Consider the following 14,166-nt stretch of genomic DNA (forward strand, 5'->3'; position numbering starts at 1 on the left):
AGCATTTGTCTGGTGCATAGAAGTGTCCAGGCAACATTCTTTTCGTGTGTATACAACAGGCGTTTTGTCTGGCTTCCTGGCTTCTCCAGGCCTTGCCAATCCTCCCTCAAGGAGTTGATGTCATTGCAGAAATTTGCCTAATCTCCCCCGTCAGCTGCAGCCTGCTTTGTCCTATCACATCACCTCTTCCACCAGTCCTGAAGCCAGCACACAGTTGAGTGACTATGGTCCTGATAGGCTTCTCTGCATTCTGCTCTGAAGGAATTCTTCTAGTGACCAGGCTCTGCAGTCACTTCTCACATGGTCTCTGCCATTTGGCATTTATGTGGCTGCACAGAATCTAAGCCTTTTCCTTTCAGGAACTCCACACTTGTGAATCCTGAAAATGTCAGGACTGAAATGCTGGTAGCTGAAAATGCCAGGTACTCCCTTGCTGCTAGGGTAAGGGTGCGTCATTTGACTTGGCCAGTAATAGGAGACCACCCCAGACTTTGAAAAGAGCTAGTGATGCAGAGGTGCAAGAAGAGCTGGAGGCCTCCCTGGGGGAAGTTGCTGGGGTCTCATTGGTTGGTGTTCAGTGCCAGCAAGATCAATGATCCAAGCTCTGTGATCCTGTGCTCAGCAAGATGGCATCAATGTCCACCAGTTCAGTGCGTGATTGTGGGCTGAGATCTGACCACGTGGCCTCTGGTATTTTAATATGTTCATTTGATTCTGAAATTAGTCAGTGATATGGTTTGTTTCTGTGTTCCCACCCAAATCTTATGTGGAATTGTAATCCCCAGTGTTGGAGGAGGGGCCTGGTGGGAGATGACTGAATCATGGGGCCAGACGTCCCCCTTGCTGTTCTCATGATAGAGAGGTCTCACGAGATCTGGTTGTTTAAAAGTGTGTAGCAGCCAGGCACAGTGGCTCACACCTGTAATCCTAGCACTTTCAGAGGCTGAGGTGGGTGGATCACCTGAGGTCAGGAGTTCGAGACCAGCCTGGCCAACATGGCAAAACCCCGTCTGTACTAAAAATACAAAAATTAGCCAGGTGTGGTGGCACACACCTGTAATCCCAGCTACTCAAAAGGCTGATACAGGAGAATCACTTGAACCTAGGAGGTGGAGGTTGCAGTGAGCCAAGATTGTACCACTGCGCTCCAGCGTGGGTGACAGAGCAAGACTCCATCTCAAATGAATGAATGAATGAATGAATAAATTAATAAATAAAAATGTTTAGCACCTCCGCCTTCTCGCTCTTCCTCCTGCTCTGGCATGTAGGATGTGCCTGCTTCCCCGTTGCCTTCCCCATGATTGTAAGTTTCCTGAGGCCTCCCCAGCCATGCTTCCTGTACAGCCTATGGAACTGTGAGTTGATTAAACCTCTTTTCTTCTTAAATTACCCAATCTCAGGTAGTTCCCTCTAGCAATGTGGGAACGGACTAATACAGTAAGTGCTGTTTGTATTTAGACCTTTCTCTGTTCGTCTCCCTGACGTCCCCCCACTTTCCCACCTAACTTCGGCCTAGACTCTTTGGGCTTGGCCTTGGTGGTACAGGGCACAGAGAAATGCCCTCATGCTCTCTTGTGTCTCAGTTTCTGCCAGCTCTGAGTCTCATCAGGTGTGGCTTCCCCCTTGCTCTCAGCAGGCCACCTGTTCCTCACTAGGGGACACGTGGGGAACAAGAATACTAGCCTGAATGCCAGAGCCTTGGAGATCTTCGTGAAAACAGTGCTGCTGGTCAAACATCCTAATCCACTCAGCCCTCTGCTCACTTCTGTAACCCTTCATTCATTCAGTAGACGTTGTTGAGGCCCTACTGCATGTCACAGACTGTTCTAAGCCCTTGGGTGAAACAGTGAACAAGACGAGGTCCCTGCTCATGTACCAGTTAGATTTTAGGCAGGAAAGACAAATAGCCAAATTAATTCTGAATGTTGATGACAGCACTGAAGACGAAGAGGAGAAACGGTGGCACATATGAGTGGGCAGAGGGGGCAAGCAGCACCCTGCCTACATACAATGGGCAGGGGCGCCATGTGAGCTGAGGCCTGCAGCATGAAGAAGCTAGGCAAGTGGAGACCTGGGAGAAGAGCATTTCAGACGACAGCTAACTGAAGGGGGCCACACGGTCTTTATTTTTTATTTTTATTTTTTGATTCAGGGTCTCGCTCTGTCACTGAAGGGCTAGGCTTCAGTGCAGTAGTGCGATCTCAGCTCACTGCAGCCTTGGACTCCTGGGCTCAAGCAATCCTCCCACCTCAGCCCCCTGAGTAGCTGAGACCACAGGCACACACTGTCACACCCAGCTAATTGTTTTTTTCTTGTAGACGCAGGGTCTCACTATGCTGCCCAGGCCAGTCTCAAACTCCTGGACTGAAGCAATCCTCCTGTCTGGCCTCCCAAAATGTCAGGATTACAGCCATAAGCCCCCATGCCTGGACTGCCACACATGCTTTGTCTCTTCCCATGGAGAGGTAGGCCTATGGTCAGCCTCTTGAATCTAGCTGGGCTCAACTGCCTTGACCAATAGAATATGGCAGGATTGACTCTGGGACAGTTTCTAGGCCATAAGAGACCAGCAGCTTCAACTTCCTGTCTCTGGGGACCCTACATCTGGGAACCCTGAGCCACCAGATGAGAAGTCTGACTCTCCTGCTGGAGAGAACACACACAGAGTACCCAAGACTGCCTGGAGAGGGAAAGGGGTCCAACCTTCCAGAACCTTCCGGACATCCCTATCGAGAGACTGGGATGTGAGTGGAACTGTCTTAGAACCTCCAGACCAGACCCCCACCCCCTGCTCAGTACCAGTCACGACTCACGTCCGTGCCACATGGAATAGAAGTATTGCCCAGCTGATCCTTGCCCAAATTCCTGATCCTCAAAATCATCATGATAAATAATAAAATAGTTGTCATTTTAAGCCACTATATTGTGGGGTGATCTGTTCTGCATCAACAGAACACTGTGACACAGTCCAGGGGAACCACTGTGCAAAAGTCCCAAAGCAGAAATGAGTCTCAGATTATTCAAGGGATCAAAGTAAGACCAGTGTGGCTGAGGCTAATAAAAGGATGGAGAGGAGTAGGAGGTGAACTGGGCAGGCTGAGCGGGATGGAGGTCCGCAGCCTGGTAGCCATGCAGTGGGCAGCCATTGGAGGGATTTTAGGAAATGCATGCTGTCGTCTGCGGGGGTGCAAAAGTGAACAGGAGCAACCAATGAGGTTGTTGCAACTGGCGAATTTTCCGGGTTGGGAATTTGGCCCAGTGTTGGGAAACTTACCTTACAACACTCATTGACTTCCTGACCTTTGTTGCAGCTCAAGCAGCTGGTCCTCTGCCTTGTCTCTGTAACTTATCCTTTGCTTTGCATCTCAGTTCTGCCAATGGTGCCTCTGTCTGACTCAGTTTCCCAGCCTTCTTCTTTGGGGCCAGCCTGTCTGCAGACAGCACAAGCCCTGCTTCCCTTTCTTCCCTGTGATGAAATAGACCTGGTGCCCATGCAGGAGGCCCAGCGTGGCCCACTGTTGCTGTGAATGGGGATAGGTCCTCCTGATTTTGGGGTTCAGTATTAGGAAGCTCCCTCACCTCCAGACACCAGCCAAATCCTTCAATAGGAGCATTATCAATAAGAAAGATGATGTTTTGCCTCTGCTGCCTGATTCCTGTCTGTCAATTGAATTCAAACTTAGGTGGAGAAGGCACTGTTTATTAGGACCCGGAATCCCTAACACCTGAGATCCTGCAGTAATAATCAGCCTGGTAGCCACAGTGTTCCTGGAATTGCTTAACTCACGGGTTATTACCTGCCCCATGCCTCTCTGATGGTGACCACCTGGTCACCAACAGTATCCCAACTGGATTGTCACATCTTTCCTGTGTCTAGACTGTTCCTTTGTCATGTGACATCCACTTGTCCTGATGCCTGCCCTGTCACCTCTGGTTGGATTTCCTAACAGTGTTGCTGGCTTCACAGCCCAGCAGACATCACTTAAGTCTAAAAGTGGGTACTAGACTTCCTTTGATTAACACCGACTGGGCCAGCTCCTTTAGCTCTGTCTCCAGGTGGACTGCAGTGGTTGTGTCATTCACATGCCTGAGCCCCTCCCATTGGCCAAACCCACAGCCTGTTGACCTATGAGCTCCCAACCCCACAACACAGGCAGGAGACAGCAGCACAGAGTTCTCAAGTTCTACCAGGTCCCAACTCTGTGTTCTTTGACTGGTCTCTTAATCTGTCTGTGCCTCATTTCCTTGTCCGTAAAATGGGGATAGTGATCATAGCATCTACCTCATGTTTCTGTGAGAATTGAAATAAGACCTGTAAAACACTCGGCATCATGCCTGGCACATACTAGGTACTCCGTAGACATCAGCTGATACTAGGCAAGCCCTCTCTGCCTGTACTTTTCAGGATTGGCTTGGAATATGGGTGGAAGGAGGTGATAGAACAAGGAGGGCAACAGCTACGCACAAAGAACACAGATTTCACATTAGGACCAGAGAAAACTTCATGGAGAGCAGAGGCTGTGACCTTTCATTTATTCTATCTCCAACACATAGCTTGATGCCTAGCACATAGTAGGTGCTCAATAAATGGTTGCTGAATCATCAGACAATTGGGCATGACTGGGGAGAGGCACCTCACAAAAATGCCAGGAATGGGACACCGACCAGAGATGAGGGCTTTAATCCCCGGTCTCTTCCCTTTTCCCTTCTAAGGGCAGCTAGGGCAGACCCTCCAGGTCAGTGGGGCCCTGTATTTCCACAGGTGGCTGGAGCCTCACCAAGCTCTCCAGGATGTCAGCCCCAGGCTGTGCACCCTCGAAGGCAGTAGGCAGTGCTGTTTTCCTGGAGGGCTGGGATGGGCATTGTAATGAGAAATAGAAACCTGCAAAAAAAATAAATAAATAAAGGTATGCCAGGCCTTCTTGTTTGGGGAGCTGGTGCCATTTCCAATGAGCAGTGTGGCAGTGGGAGATAAGGCAGAAATGTGAATTGCTATTGTGCTTCACTCCACAAGCAACTAGAGGGGTTTTCTGCAGGGTGCTTTGTAATACCAGGTGGCAACAATTATCATGAACTCAGAATGGGTGAACAATTAAGTTCTTCCTTTCTTGCTGGTTCCTGTTTTACTTGAACTTTCCTTCCATCCAACAATGCCCACCACTTGCTATCAACAAATCAACAAAAGCCTGCATGTATGAATGGAGAACACTGAGGACAGAGTCTCGGGCTGTGTGTTCTTGGCTCTACTGCCAGCCACTACTCTCTGGGTTCTGACCAAGCCATTCTCCCTGCCTCTGCCTCAGTTTCCCTCCTGGTGACCTTGTGAGTGGTCTCTGAGGCAGGTAGAGGCAAGGAGGGTTCTGTCACGGGGTGTGGCAAGGATCAGTTAATATTAATGCTATTTTTTTTTTTTTGAGACAGAGTTTCACTCTTGTTGCCCAGGCTGGAGTGCAGTGATGTGATCTCGGCTCACTGCAACTTCTACCTCCCCGGTTCAAGCAATTCTCCTGCCTCAGCCTCCCGAGTAGCTGGGAATACAGGCATATGCCACCACGCCTGGCTAATTTTTTTTTTTTTTTTTTTTTTTTAAGTAGAGATGGGGTTTCGCCATGTTGGCCAGCCTGGCCTCAAACTCCTGACCTCACATGATCCACCCACCTCGGCCTCCCAAAGTGCTGGGATTACAGGTGTGAGCCACTGCACCCGGCCTGTTATTAATACTGTTTTTAAGCCCTGGATCTGCATGTCTCCTCCTCCGGGCGATTACCTGCTGCATGCTCTAACACTCTTCCTTCACCTCCTTACATCTCGAAGTCCTGGTAGAATGTCCCACACACAACATGTGCTAATTACACATTTGTGGCTCATTAAGATGATAAGATTGTTCTCCTCCAAGAACCTTGCACCCACAATTTCAGACCAGCTTCACAGTCTCCAAGCTGTTCACCAATGTATTCTCCAGTTCTTGGTCTGAGTATGTTTCTTGTTTATTCTTCTCAACCACCCACTACCTCCATGCCTCTTACTCTCGCCTCAGGAAGTTCCACCAGTCCTTGTCACCTGGCAGTGACAGAGGCAGGAAAACAGCTCCTGCCCAAAGCTGGGGCAGTGCAGGAACTTCCCCTTCCAATGCTGTCAGCCAGGGGAGTGAGTGCAGAGTCACCCATAGCAGGTCGCATGTGGGAATTGGGGTGCGGTGTCAGGTGCTGGCCATGCACAGAATCTGGGGCTCTGCTTGCCCTGGAGTTGCTGATAGACGCGCAGGAAGTTGTGGCTGCAATGAGAGTGTCAGCTTTTCTCCCACTGGTCAAGGACACAAACCAAGCCCACCAGTGAAAACTCTGCAGCCTCCATTCAAATGAACACAGATGTGGCAGCTTATCTTCCCTGGGGTCCCACAGGAGACTTAACAGGCTTCCCTCGGGCTGTGTCTGCTGAAGTCAGTTTGCATGATGCTAGAACTGTCGACCCATCTCTGTAAAAACTGCTGCTTCTACGGGTAACTAACATCCCTCAAAAGTAAGCTCCTATCTAAAATGTTTAAATAACTTTTGTTTCATTATAAACGTTGAAAAAATACAAAAAGGCAGAAGAAAAAAAATGTATACAGAATCTCATCACCCGGAAACAGCCTCCTAGTAGATTTCTGTCTTTCTCTTCTTTCTGGTGGGTGCATTTCAATGCCATTAAGATTGTGCAGAAGCTGGACATGGTGGCACATGTCTCTGTAGTCCCAGCCACTCAGGAGGCTGAGGTGGGATGATTGCTTGAGCCCAGGAGTTTGAGGCCAGGGCAACATAGTGAGACCCGTTTCTACAAAAATCAAAAATAAAAAATTACCTGGGTGTGGTGGTGCACACCTGTAGTCCCAGCTACTCAGGAGGCTGAGGCAGAAGGATCACTTGAGCCCAGGAGTTCAAGGCTACAGTAAGCTATGATTGTGCCACTGCCCTCCAGTGTTGGAGACAGAATGAGACCTTGTCAAAAAAAAACAAAACTTAAAATTTAAAAAAGATTATTCAGTATATAAAATTATACATCCTACATTTTAAACACCATTTTTCTAAATGTGAAAGTAATAGGCCGGGCGCGGTGGCTCACGCCTGTAATCCCAGCACTTTGGGAGGTAGAGACAGGCGGATCACGAGGTCAGGAGATCGAGACCGTCCTGGCTAACACGGTGAAACCCTGTCTCTACTAAAAAATACAAAAAAATTAGCCAGGCGTGGTGGCAGGCACCTGTAGTCCCAGCTACTCGGGAAGCTGAGGCAGGAGAATGGCGTGAACCTGGGAGGCGGAGTTTGCAGTGAGCCAAGATCGTGCCACTGCACTCCAGCCTGGGGGACAGAGAGAGACTCCGTCACAAAAAAAAAAAAAAAAAGTAATATACATTTACTATTTTAAAAGCTTGAAAAGCTTTAAAATGCAAAGAAAAACCATAAGAGTTCTGCCCCCCTCCAGAGTTAATCACTGTTAACATTTTGGTTTATTGCCTTAAACTCTATTTTAATAATACAACGTTTACTTGTTTTTAAGTGAATGACATGGAAAGATTCACAAGTCCTAAGTGGACAATCACATAAATAGGGAGTTAGTTGTGTAGGAAAATGCGTATGTGAGTTGGTAAACTAAAATATGAACAGCGGCTGTCTCTTGGTGGTAGGATTATCTAGTGATTTTTACTTTCTTCTTTTGGCTTGTCAAAAGTTTCCAAATCTTCCACAATGAATATGAATTTAGTAGTAAGAAAAAAAACCACAAAATTATTTAAGACACAGATATCCAGATTCACAAGTGTGTTTCCGAGCTGGGTCTTCCTTGCCCCAAAATCTCATCTCTTCTTACTCATGTCTGGAAGCCAGCCTTAGGTGAAGAGTTTGGCAAGGCTGATGCTGGCAGAGAGAGGAGGGCAGGACAGGCAGGGCAAAATCCCTTGGCTTCAGGGCACTTCACCCTACAAAATCTGAAGGGCTCCATGTCCCTCCAGCACACACAGGACCTGAGGGGCTGGAGCCGTCTCCACAGCAACCATAGGATGGAGCGAGGATGCCAGAAGGACGGGCATAGGGGATGGAGTCACTGCAGAGACAATGGAGGGAAGGGCACATAGGGAGAATAAGCATTTCGATGCATAGGAGGAATGAACTCTGTAGGGACCTATGGCTGAGTAGATGAGGAAAGTAAATTCATATCTTATATCTCTGCACACCAGCTATTTGTATAAAACAATAGCATGGTGGCTGGGTGCAGTGTCTCACACCTGTAATCCCAGCACTTTGGGAGGCCAAGGCAGGCAGATCACCTGAGGTCAGGAGTTCGAGAGCAGCCTGGCTAACATGGCGAAACCCCATCTCTACTAAAAATACAAAAATTATCCGGGTGTGGTTGCATACACCTGTAGTCCCAGCTACTCAGGAGGCTAAGGCTAGAGAATCACTTGAACCTGGGAGGTGGAGGTTGCAGTGAGTCAAAATCATGCCACTGCACCCCAGCCTGAGCGACAGAGTGAGACTCCATCTCAAAAAAATAAAAATAAAATAATAGCATAGTCACTAAATGTATTAACAATATTAAGAAAAAGAGGGACATGATGATATATTTGTCAATGATTTATTCATTTACTTTCCATGTCATTCTCTTGGCCTTGTTCTTAGAAAATCTTTCCAATTTCAGGCATTAGGCTGATTGTCAACACCAGTTTACGCTGATTGGTAAGTTTTTGTCTCATTCTGTGTATGTAGATACATACAGGTATCATTATCTATACTTGTGCTACTCAGAGAATGTGCTGCTTTTTGCAAAAATATTCACGCAGAATTCACTGTTCACATCTGAAATCTGTGATTAGCCATATGCATGCCTGAACACTGAGCATATTAAGTAGCCCTGAGCCCAGGTTGCAGGATGGAGTGTGCTACACTGATTCTACTCGCTCCTAGAGATTAAGCCCCTCAGAGTTTCCATGTTACACTCCCCTGGGCACCTGGGGACACCAACAATCTGGGTCCCAGGACAGATAGAATCTTGAATACTTGTAACCTATTATTTTATTATTGACTCATTGCTGTACATGTTCACTGCCTGGTATCAAGAGAAAATGTAATTTGTAACTGATATCTCTCAATAATGTTGTGTACTTCCTACAAAGAGACCCACTGATGAGTTCATTAACTGTTATGTAACTGATGCTTTACATTGCTTTATTTTATTTACAAATTCTTAGTGGGCTTTTATATGGGTGTTTTAAAGTGTTTTAGTGTTTTTTTTTAAATTTTCAGAATAAAAATAGTTGAGGTTTTAGGCAGCCAAGAAAGCACTATTATTTTTCCCACTTAAAAAGATAAGGGTCCCAGGCTCCAAAAGATTGTTATTCGCACAATCCCAGGAAAGAATTAGATTGAGATATCAATGGATGGCTGCATTTTAGTGAGAAATTGGAAACTGTATTAAGGCTTCCTGGTCAAATGGCATTTTCCCAACCCTTCTTGAGCTGTTTTTCTCTCTTCTTACTTCCTGGCTATTGCAGGAGGGTCCTCCCAGTTTTTATCTCTGTAATTTCTTGGGACTCTGGGGCTATATTACTGTCTACCTTGGTCCTTAATGGCTGATCCCTGAAAGTCCATTTGACTTCTAATGGAGGAGTCTACAGGCTAGACATGAGTAATAAATGGTGGTGATTTGCACGTTGCATAACGAAGAACTGAGTGAGTGCCTGTGGGAAAGGAAAGGCAGCCCCTCCACTCTCCCACAGCTACCTTCTCCTCTCTCACACACACAAACATGTGCATACATGCACTCTTGTCTTTGTGCTACAAACAGCAGCATACGGAGTTAAATAGCATTAAAGAAACCAGTTGGCCAGGCGCAGTGGCTCATGCCTGTAATCCCAGCACTTTGGGAGGCCGAGGTGAGTGGATCACCTGAGGTCAGGAGTTCAAAACCAGCCTGACCAATATGGTGAAACCCCATTTCTACTAAATACAAAAAATTAGCCAGGTGTGGTGGCACACACCTGTAATCCCAGCTACTTGGGAAGCTGAGGCAGGAGAATCGATTGAACCTGGGAGGCAGAGGTTGCAGTGAGCCGAGATTGTGCCATTCATTGCACTCCAGCCTGGGCAGCAAGAGCGAAACTCCGTCTCAAGAAAGAAAAGAAAAGAAAAGAAAAGAAAAGAAACCAGTCAATCCTCCTGGCCACTGGTAAAGGTTGTTATCATAGGCATGATGTGTCAGTGATAACTGCAATGATCTCACTATTTTCTCATCAAAATAGAATGTTCTAACAACAACATGGGCAGAAATAGCCTTAAAAAAAAATCACACTAATCCAACAACATCTGATTTACTTTTTAGTCAAATATTCATGTTTAGACCAAAACTAATAACATGATTTTTGTATCCCCTTTCCCCTGAAAAATCCCACCTTTCATCTTATTTTTGAAATATTATGTGTGTAATAAATGCATTCATTTCTACATAAAATGTTTGCATGTTATATGTTACTCCAGGCAGTGGCAAACTATAGCCTGTGGGCCAAATTCATTCCACTGACTGTTTTGGTACAGCCTTTAAGTTAAAAATAGTTTTTACATGTTTAAATGGCTGGGGGAAAAAATCAAAACAGGATTTTGTGACATATGCAAAATTATATAAAATTCAAATTTCAATGTCCATAAATAAAGTTTGGTTGGAACACAGCTATGCCCATACATTTACATATTGTCTATGGCTGCTTTTGCCCTACAATGCCACAATGGAATAGCTGCAACAAAGACTATGTGGCCCACAAACCTCAAATATATTTACCATCCAGTTCTTTCCAGGAAAAGTTTGCTAACTCCTATGTTAGTCCTTTGAAATAAGCAACAACAAAAATCAAAATGTTATTTGCATAATATTAGTAGAATACATGTGACCAAGGTAACCATGCCCCAGAGCATAAACAATCTTAAATCAAGAATCTGAGTGGCTGGGCACAATGGCTCACACCCGTAATCCCAGCACTTTGGGAGGCTGAGGTGGGTGGATTGCTTAAACCCATGAGTTCAAGACCAGCCTGGGCAACATAGTGAGACCCTGTCTCTACAAAAAATACATATTTTTAAATTAGCTGAATGTGGTGGCACATGCCTGTGGTCCCAGCTACTCAGGAGACTGGGGTGGGAAGATCCCTTGAGCCCAGAGGTCAAGGCTGCAGTAAGCCATGTTCGGGCCACTGCCCTCCAGCCTGGGCAACAGAGTCAGACTCAAAACAGAAGAAAACAAATAATCTGAGAAATAATTACCCTCTCTCGATTTTGTTTACCTGCAAAGAAGCTTTCCTGTGGCAAAAGCTGGGGACAAAGCCTTACAGAACTCAGAAGAATTCACACACATGTCGTAGTGATTTGAAAACTATGTCCAATGCATTGAGGTACCAGAAAAGGTTACTTCTTTGTTTCCTATAACTTTTACCTCACTGTTGCTTGAAGGAGAAAAGGGAAGAGGTCGGAGAGGAAGAGGTTACGAGCTTGCCAGGTGAATATAATTCAGTCTTTTCCAGTTTACCACTGTCTTAGTTGAGTTAGTGGTCTTTTTTTGGTAAAATCATCTTTCAAGATTTCTGTGTCCCTCCCATCCTCACCTGCCCTTCCATTCATGTAGGGAAAAGCTTCCATGAGCTTAGCCACAGGACAGGAGTTCTCAGATGCAAGGACAGGTCTCTTACACAGGAGTCAAAGTTTCTTGTCCCACCTGGTCGTGCCCTGCTCCCAACTCCACCATCTTGGCTCTGTCTGACTCCCACTGGTGTTGCAAATGCTCTGAATCTTGGCAATGTCCTCCCTCCTCCCCTGACCTGGTGTCTAACCACAGCCTCTGCCACAGGGTCACAGGTGCCCTGGGTGATGCCCCGGGTAGCCCCACAGCAAGTGTTCTGGCTCTCACTCAGCTCCTTTCTGCATTCTCCACTAGGAGCCCAGCAATACCTGCAGGATAGTGGCATCTCCATTCTCTCTGTCTTCCCCCTTCATTCCGCCCTTTCTAACCCACCACCTGGGTGGCATGTGCTGGATGCAGCAGTTCTCTGGGACTTGATATTTCCCCGGTCTATCCTGAAAAAGTAAGGAACAAAGCCGCTGCTCTGGGATTCCTCCAAACTGAAACAAAACAGAGACTAGATGAGTGCCTGTAGGAAAGGAAAGACAGCCCCTCCGCTCTCCCAAAGTCAGCTTCTCCTCTCTCTCTCACACACACATGTGCACACATGCACTCTTGTCTTTGTGCTACAAACAGCACAATAGGTACACTACAAACCAGGTACCTGGTTATTTTACCTCTTGTCTCCTCTTCCCATTCTGTCAGCACCTCCCTTATGAAATAATCTGCATTGTCTCTACCAAAGGCTTATATGTCTAAACTCCAGCCCTAACTTTCCACCTATAAAGGGAGCTTTTAAAATTCAGAAAATAAACATTATCTCTCCCCATAAAGTCTGCATTTCAAAACTGTTATTTCAATATGGAGTCAATGAAGTCAGCTTTGCAAACCAAAGCCATCAATGACCTTTTTATTCCAGGCACTGCCCATCCTCACCCACCCTGCAGTTTATGGCTTAGCCCTAATGGCGGAAGGCTGTGGAAGAACAGGATTTACGGGGGTATGAAAAACGCATCCATTCAATAATTCAAAATATTATTCCTGTTACCCTTGCTAAGTGAAAATCCTTTGTAACATTTTCATTCTTTTAAAAAAATTACATTTTGCCTCAGCATAACTCTTTGGTCTCAGCTGTTATCTTAGTTGTCTAGGGCTTTCATAGCAAAATACTACAGACAGGGCAGCTTAAACAACAGAAATGTGTTTTCTCACAGTTCTGGAGGCTGGAAGTCCAAGATCAAGGTGCCTGCAGGGCTGGTTTCCTCTAAGGCCTTGCTCCCTGGTTTGCAGATGGCCGCCCTCTTGCTGTGTCCTCCCACGGTCCTTTCTCTGTGCCTGTATCCCTGGTGTTTCTCTATGTTTCTAAATTTCCTCTTCTTGTAAGCACAGTCAGATTGGATTAGGGCACATCCTGGTGGCTCAATTTACCTCCATCACATCTTCAAAGGCTCCATCTCCAAATACAATCACATTCTGAAGTAATGGGAGTTAGACTTTAGTACATGAATTTAGGTTGAGGGGAGCTGGAGGGGGGCACAATTCAGCCCAAAACACAGGTTACCTCTCATTTGGGTTGTTGCCCGTCTTCACGTTTAAATGGCACTCTCCCCGTGTGCTTGCCTGTGTCCAAACTTCCTCTTCTTATAAAGACATCAGTCATATCAGACCACAGCCCACCAAATGACCTCATTTTAACTTGATTACCACTGTAAAGACCCTATAAGGTCACATTCTGAGGAGGTTGGGACTCCACATACCTTTTTTTTCCTTTGGTGGAGGAAGGGACGCAATTTGGCCCAACAGTGAGCCAAAGAGTACACAGTGTCTAATATTCCAGACAAAGTTGTTTGGGTTCTGGGCATAAACTTCTATTTCCTCAGAATAAAAGCAAAAACAAATAAGCCAAAAACATTTTTCAACATACCCAGGCTTTTATATGTTGCAGGGAAGGGAGTTTAGAGGCCCAGCAGCCAAAAGGGTCCTGCCCATGTCCACACTCCACTGCCTGAAGGTGAGAGACAGTGAATAGAAACAAAGCAAAGCTCCCACAAAGTGGCCAAGAGCCATGAAGACACAGCTGTGGCCAGGAACCCAGGAGGCCAGATAATCTCAGAAAGGAGGGAGATTATCATCAGGCCAGGCCCAGTGGCGCACACTTGTAATCCCAGCCACTCGGGAGGCTAAGGCACAAGAATTGCTTGAACCCAGGAAATACTGAGATGGTGCCACTGCACTCCAGCTTGGGTGACAGAGAGAGACTGTTTCAAAAGAAAGGAAGAAAGAAAGAGAGAGAGAGAAAGAAAGAAAGAGAGAGAGAGAGGCAGGGAGGGAGGGAGGGAAGAAGGAAGGAAGGAAGGAAGGGGGAGGAGGAGGTGGAGGAGGAAGGAGGGAGGGAAGGAAGGAAGGAAGGAAGAAGGAAAGAAAGAAAGAAAGAAAGAAAGAAAGAAAGAAAGAAAGAAAGAAAGAAAGAAAGAAAGAAAGAAAGAAGGAAAGAGAAAGAAAAAGAAAGGAGATTATCAGCCTGGGTGA

At 46.3% G+C, this 14,166-nt stretch overlaps 1 long non-coding RNA gene across 2 annotated transcripts; it reads right to left on the bottom strand.

The window, feature by feature from the left end:
- Nucleotides 1-7,459: 7,459 nt before the first annotated feature.
- LOC105379335 (uncharacterized) lies at nt 7,460-13,782 on the bottom strand. 2 transcript variants are annotated; one of them, XR_949599.2, is made up of 5 exons: nt 13,199-13,782; nt 12,850-13,110; nt 11,967-12,092; nt 11,306-11,464; nt 7,460-8,079 (listed from the first exon to the last, which is right to left on the bottom strand). It is a non-coding gene; the product is annotated as an uncharacterized LOC105379335 (long non-coding RNA). The 2 variants fall into 2 exon arrangements; XR_949598.2 differs by having other exon boundaries at nt 11,967-12,137.
- Nucleotides 13,783-14,166: the final 384 nt, after the last annotated feature.

The sequence above is a fragment of the Homo sapiens genome, chromosome 8 (assembly GCF_000001405.40).
Source record: "Homo sapiens chromosome 8, GRCh38.p14 Primary Assembly".
In the NCBI taxonomy this organism is placed as follows: Eukaryota; Metazoa; Chordata; class Mammalia; order Primates; family Hominidae; genus Homo; species Homo sapiens.